The sequence below is a fragment of the Homo sapiens genome, chromosome 1 (assembly GCF_000001405.40).
Source record: "Homo sapiens chromosome 1, GRCh38.p14 Primary Assembly".
Lineage (NCBI taxonomy): Eukaryota > Metazoa > Chordata > Mammalia > Primates > Hominidae > Homo > Homo sapiens.
The window spans coordinates 82,771,243-82,777,495 of NC_000001.11; the positions used below are offsets into that span (position 1 = coordinate 82,771,243).

A 6,253-nucleotide genomic window follows, 5' to 3' on the forward strand; every position below is an offset into this window, starting at 1 on the left:
AGCTTTTTGTGCAATCAGTATATAATTTAGTAGGTGCAATTCAGTTACCTGTAATACAAGGCTATGTGAGCCATCACATGAGGGGTCTGCAGAGTTCAAGGGCAGGAGAGAGGAAAAGAGTCTGCCTGAATTGATTCGGAAACTAATCGTGTGAGAAATAACATACGGACTGGACCTCCATGAACGGATGAATAGAATTTCAATAGCAAATATCAGGATGGGAGAATACTCCAGAGAGAACAGCATGAACAGAAATAGAGAGCTGAGAAACATAATGTTTCAAAATGCAGCTATTTTTACTTTTTCACTCTATCCATTCTAGACAAGACTTAAAGTATCCCCAAGAATACATAAATTACAACAAAGTAATATGATTAACAATTATATTAAAGAACACTACAGGTATTTCTTAGTCGAGTTCAGGCTACTATTATGCTAGTAGTAAGAACCAAAGTTGGAAAAGTGAATTGGGATCAGAATTTGGTGAGTTTGAAACGCTGAACTAAGAGTTTTGTTTTATTCTTAGGGAATCAAAAGGCATAGAAATTGGGTGAGCAGAAGTTGAGGGGATATTGATGGGCACTTGAAAGAGCACACAGGCAGCAGGCTTGAAGATGGGTTGAATGGTGTATGTGGGGGAGGGAAGGGGGCAGGTAAAAACCGAGAGATGGACTAATTGGAGGAAGGAGATCCACACAGAGTGAAAACATTTTGTTGTAAGATTATGACAGCAGGAATGGAAAAGGAGTGAAAGATGTGAGAGATAGAATAGAAGAATTCAGGGAAAAATAAGTTCTTTCATTAAAGTAGTAACAAAAAGGAAATATCTATCAGGAGTAAGTAGGGTTGACTTTGTTTTTGTTTGCTTGCTTTCATCCAAGAGAGATGCAAATTCTCAGGGTTGTTGCTTCTAGTAGTAACCTCATCCTCACCAGCAGTTGCCTCCGGCCATGGGTGTAAAGGATAAGAGGGAGGTAGACAGGCAATCAGACTCTCTCTCTTCATTTAGGCAGCAATGAAAGACTTTCGGGGGAATACAGATGTGTACATGTAATAAATCTCAGCAGAGCTGTCCCGGAGAGATTCATAGCCCAGGATTTGGACTAGAGAGATGAAAATAATTCAATTTGGCACTCTGTGGCTATAAAGAACCTTGCAACTGAGAACGCCTGAATATATTCAACTTTCAATTAGCTATGCTAATCAACCATCCACATTGTACAAAGAGCAAACATCAAATAGGAGTTACTTTCATATGTGATTTTGAAATGTTTATGATTACTATCACATACATTTAAACATAAGGCAAACCTGAATACAAGGCAACTCCTCATTTTCCCAGTTGAAAGAGTTTGAGGGATGGGGGGGACAGTTTGAATATATAAACTTTGAAGCAAGTACATTAAAGAGTCAAATCACTATAATATTTAATTTAGTGATATACAATTTACATTCAATAATTTACAAAATCATGTGAATTTATAAGATTTTCCCACACATGAATTTTATGAAATACTTTTATCACTCTTCACATGATCTCTAACACTTGTGACATCCCCATCACCAGAGTCCCCTTAAGAGTCATCTTCCTCAATCTTCCATAGCACAGCTTCTATCAAAGTTGTTTGAATTCATTTTGAACTCATATATGACACTGTCAGTACAAACTTTATCTCCAGTTGCAAGTACCTGTTCACATATCATTCTAGAATTTTAAAAATTATTCTGAAGGTATATTTTTATTGTCTTGACAAGGTAAAATTCTACCATTTATCCTTTAAAAGTAATCTTTAGAAGGATTTTCTACAGTAAGATCCGACATTTAAAATTGTGAGATCATTTGTCCAAGAATAACCAAATATTGTTGCCTCCATTTTTTAAAACAAATTTCTGTCATGATATCTATAAATATCTCCAACTAGAATTGATTGAGGTTATCGCAGGCTCATGTTTAAAATCAAATAATTGAGACCACACTTTATATGACAGACTGTAAGAACTCAAATATATGACAATTCTTTTTTAGGATATGAATTTTTCAGTGAGAAAAAAATGGCTTATATTTGGAGACAGATAATAAGCAAGTATGAACATATCTAATGTTTTGTGAATTTATATTTTTAAGCTAAAGAATAAAACCAAAACATAGCAACTATTTAACTTTTCTAACTGTCCTTTTCCTGGTTTCTTTTTGCTAGCTATCCCTCTGATGTGGAGTGGAGAAAGAAACCTTCCTATCTGCAGACGGTTCCTGGCTTATGAAGGTTTGATTTACAATTTTTCAACTTTAAAATGGTAGGAAAGCGATAAGTATCCAGTACTCTCCTTGACCTACAATGAGTCCATGTCCAGATAAATTCATGATAAGTTGAAGAGCATTTATATTTATGGGGATAATTAATAGGACCAATGACATAATTTGTGGAGTCCAGTGCATAGTGAAAATCTGGGGGCTCTTGTTTAAATGTTGTTAAGTATAGAAAGATAATGACAGCAGAGAGTTAGTGTGTAGGTCCTTCCAAACATGGGTCCCTGTTCAACTGCACAAATTGCAGGCCCGTGAAGCCAATCCTGATAACTAATATTGTTTATCCTGGCTGTGTTTTGAGGCAAGTGAGAGTATTAGTGAAGCAAGGGAAGTTCAAATGCTTTGACAACATTCAAGGATTGCATATGCATAAAGGAGTTTTACATCCCTAAAGGATTAAAAAGAAATCACTGGAAATATCCAGAATAAATTTGCTGTATTTCTAGAATATTTCTTCTTTCAGTGGGGTTTATAAATGCCATCTGGCTAAAGAGAGAGTGAGAGAGAAAGGGAGAGAGAGAGAGAAACAAAAAGAGAGAATAAAATTAGAAAAAATTCCAGACTTTCAAATCCTGTAGAAAACTAGAAGTTGCTATTGAGACTTTTCTGATAAGAAAGTAAACAACTTTTATTCTTTATTTGTACAAAGTATAAGTCAATGATGCATTTTTCCTCTGGATGCTAAACAAATCATATCTCCTAGAAAAAGGGACAATTATTCATCAGGAATTTATTTCCACAAAATCACGTCTCTTCACAAGAAATTTAAATTTGATGAAAAAAAAAGAAAAAAAACTCCCATTTGAAAATCTAATCATTTAAATTTTACAGGATTTTCACAGTTGGAACAGAAGTCATTGCCATGATTTCAGAAAAAAGTCCCACCCACATTAGGAAGAACCAGACAAACATTTCCTGTTACATGTAAAAATAACGATACTTGAATGCAGAGATATAAAAATGCGAATTGTGAGCGGGTGTGGCAGACTCAATTCCTCTGATGGATTATCTTTAGGAAGATATAAATTTATGGTGATTTAAAATAAAGAAAATTTAAAAGGCATTAGAACATGTGAACCTATTCATTTTATAAAATTGTTTAACTAAATGTCTTTACTAAAATGTTAACAACACTTTACTGTAAAAATAAAATAACCGAAGGGAACAGGTTGTCAAAATACAATAATTCTCTTATTGTCATAATGGGTTAGCCAGTTAGTTCATGAAAGACAGGGTGACCTTCTGGAAAAGAGCTGGATTTAACCATTTGTAACTAAAGAAAGGGCATGTCTGAGCCAAACTCAAAAGTAGAAAAGGTGAGATCTTGTGCAACTATAAAGTGAGACATTGTGCAACTATAAACAAATCAATTGTAGGTTGTATGTATAATACTAATTTAAAAAATAGTTTAAAAGTTCAGTAGTTCAAACCAACAATAATTTGGATTTGCAATGTTTTGACCTTCCCTTAAAGTGAATTCTCTCGAAAAAGCTTCTTTTTGCAGGAGCAGCTCCTAAACAGGCAAAAGAATCAGACAGGGCAGAAAACAGTGACAGATGACATAAGTCACATGAAGGGACAGACTCCAGAACCACCCAAATCTAGTTTCTGGGTCCATGAATGTGTCACTTTTTTTACTTTGAGCCTTGTTTTTCTCACTTGAAAAACCGAAATAATAATCAGGTAGGGTCATTATATTATAGGATAACATATTATATCTCCTTGATTCCAAGTCGTTTATTGCTTTCTCATTTTAACAAATCAGGATATGTCTTACAATTGATGTTGGCTCTGAATCAATAAAATGCAGTATATAAAATTCCTGGCACACTGACGTACTCGGGAGCTATAACTTACTTTGATTAGCTTTGTGTTGTCCGTTTTCATCATCTATTTTACTAATCTCATGCACTTTCGATGTATCACCTACACAATGAGGAATTTCAAATTTATCAACATCAGACTCAACTCCTAATGAGGTAGGAGACCAGCGGGACTTATTTCCTAATCCCAACAGGATGAAGACAGACACTGGCAGGAACCAGCAGGTGGCGCCAAAGGCAACCTCTGGTTTCCCGCGCTGCTCATTAGCATAAGACACTCCCATCAGTGCCTTGACAGTTTACAAATAGCCTTGGCAACAACCCCGAAGCTGCTGCCCCTCTCCATGACAATGACCTCGAAGTTACTGCCCCTGGTTTCCAGAAATTTCTGAATGACCCACCCCCTAATTTGCATGTAATTAAAAGTAGATATAAGTGGATATAAATACAGCTGCCAATAACCCATATCCTTCTGACTCTGGGAGCACTACCTAGGTGTTAGCTCTGCTCTGAAGGACCAGCTCTGGTTCAAAAAAATTCTAACACTGTCCGGAATTGGTGGGTTTTTGGTCTCACTTACTTTAAGAATGAAGCCGCGGACCCTCGTGGTGAGTGTTACAGCTCTTAAGGTGGCGCGTCTGGAGTTTGTTCCTTCTGATTTTCAGATGTGTTCGGAGTTTCTTCCTTCTGGTGGGTTCGTGGTCTCGCTGGCTGAGGAGTGAAGCTGCAGACCTTGGCAGTGAGTGTTACAGCTCTTAAGGTAGCGCGCCTGGAGTTGTTCGTTCCTCCCGGTGGGCTCCTGGTCTGGCTGGCTTCAGGAGTGAAGCTGCAGAACTTCGCGGTGAGTGTTACAGCTCATAAAAGCAGTGTGGACCCAAAGAGTGAGCAGTAGCAAGATTTATTGCAAAGAGGGAAAGAACAAAGCTTCTATAGTGTGGAAGGGGACCACAGAGGGTTGCCACTGCTGGCTCGGGCAGCCTGCTTTTATTCTCTTATCTGGCCCCACCCACATCCTGCTGATTGGTAGAGCCCAGTGGCCTGTTTTGACAGGGCGTTGATTGGTGCGTTTACAATCCCTGAGCTAGATACAAAGGTTCTCCACCTCCCCATCAGATTAGTTAGATACAGAATTTTGACACACAGGTTCTCCAAGGCCCCACCAGAGCAGCTAGATACAGAGTGTCGATTGGTGCACTCACAAACCCTGAGCTAGACACAGGGTGCTGATTGGTGTGTTTACAAACCTTGAGCTAGATACAGAGTGCCGATTGGTGTATTTACAATCCCTGAGCTAGACATAAAGGTTCTCCAAGTCCCCACCAGACTCAGGAGCCCAGCTGGCTTCATCCAGTGGATCCCGCACCAGGGCTGCAGGTGGAACTGCCTGCCAGTCCCGCGCCATGCGCTCTCACTCCTCAGCCCTTGGGTGATCCATGGGACTGGGCGCCGTGGAGCAGGGGGTGGTGCTCGTCCGGGAGGCTCCGGCTGCACAGGAGCCCACGGAGGTGGCGGAAGGCTCAGGCATGGCGGGCTGCAGTCCTGAGGCCTGCCCGGCGGGAAGGCAGCTAAGGCCCGGCAAGAAATCGAGCACAGCGCCGGTGGGCTGGCACTGCTGGTGGACCCAGTACACCCTCCGCAGCCGCTGGCCCGGGTGCTAAGTCTCTCATTGCCCGGGGCCGGCAGGGCCGGCTGGCTGCTCCGAGTGCGGGGCCCGCCAAGCCCACGCCCACCTGGAACTCCAGCTGGCCCGCAAGCGCCGCAGGCAGCCCCGGTTCCCGCTCACGCCTCTCCCTCCACACCTCCCTGCAAGCTGAGGGAGTGGGCTCCGGCCTTGGCCAGCCCAGAAAGGGGGCTCCCACAGTGCAGCGGTGGGCTGAAGGGCTCCTCAAATGCCGCCAAAGTGGGAGCCCAGGCAGAGGAGGCACCGAGAGCGAGAGAGGGCTGTGAGGACTGCCAGCACGCTGTCACCTCTCAACACTACTGGCTCGCCCTTGAATTATTTCCTGGGCAAAGTCAAGAACCTCTCCGTGCAAAGCCCCGATTTCAGGGCTTGCCTGCCTGCTTGCATTGTCTGGCAACCACAGAGATGAAGATAACAGAGATGAAGAAGACATCAAAGATG

The 6,253-nt window shown here is 41.4% G+C and overlaps 1 annotated feature.

The window, feature by feature from the left end:
• Positions 4,051-5,250: an enhancer, noted in NCBI's record as "BRD4-independent group 4 enhancer chr1:83240976-83242175 (GRCh37/hg19 assembly coordinates)". NCBI's record gives its function as "activates an origin of replication core promoter dependent on BRD2, P300/CBP, MED14 and CDK7 cofactors, and independent of BRD4, by STARR-seq in HCT116 cells {active_cell/tissue: HCT116}" and the evidence as "EXISTENCE:reporter gene assay evidence [ECO:0000049][PMID:35650434]".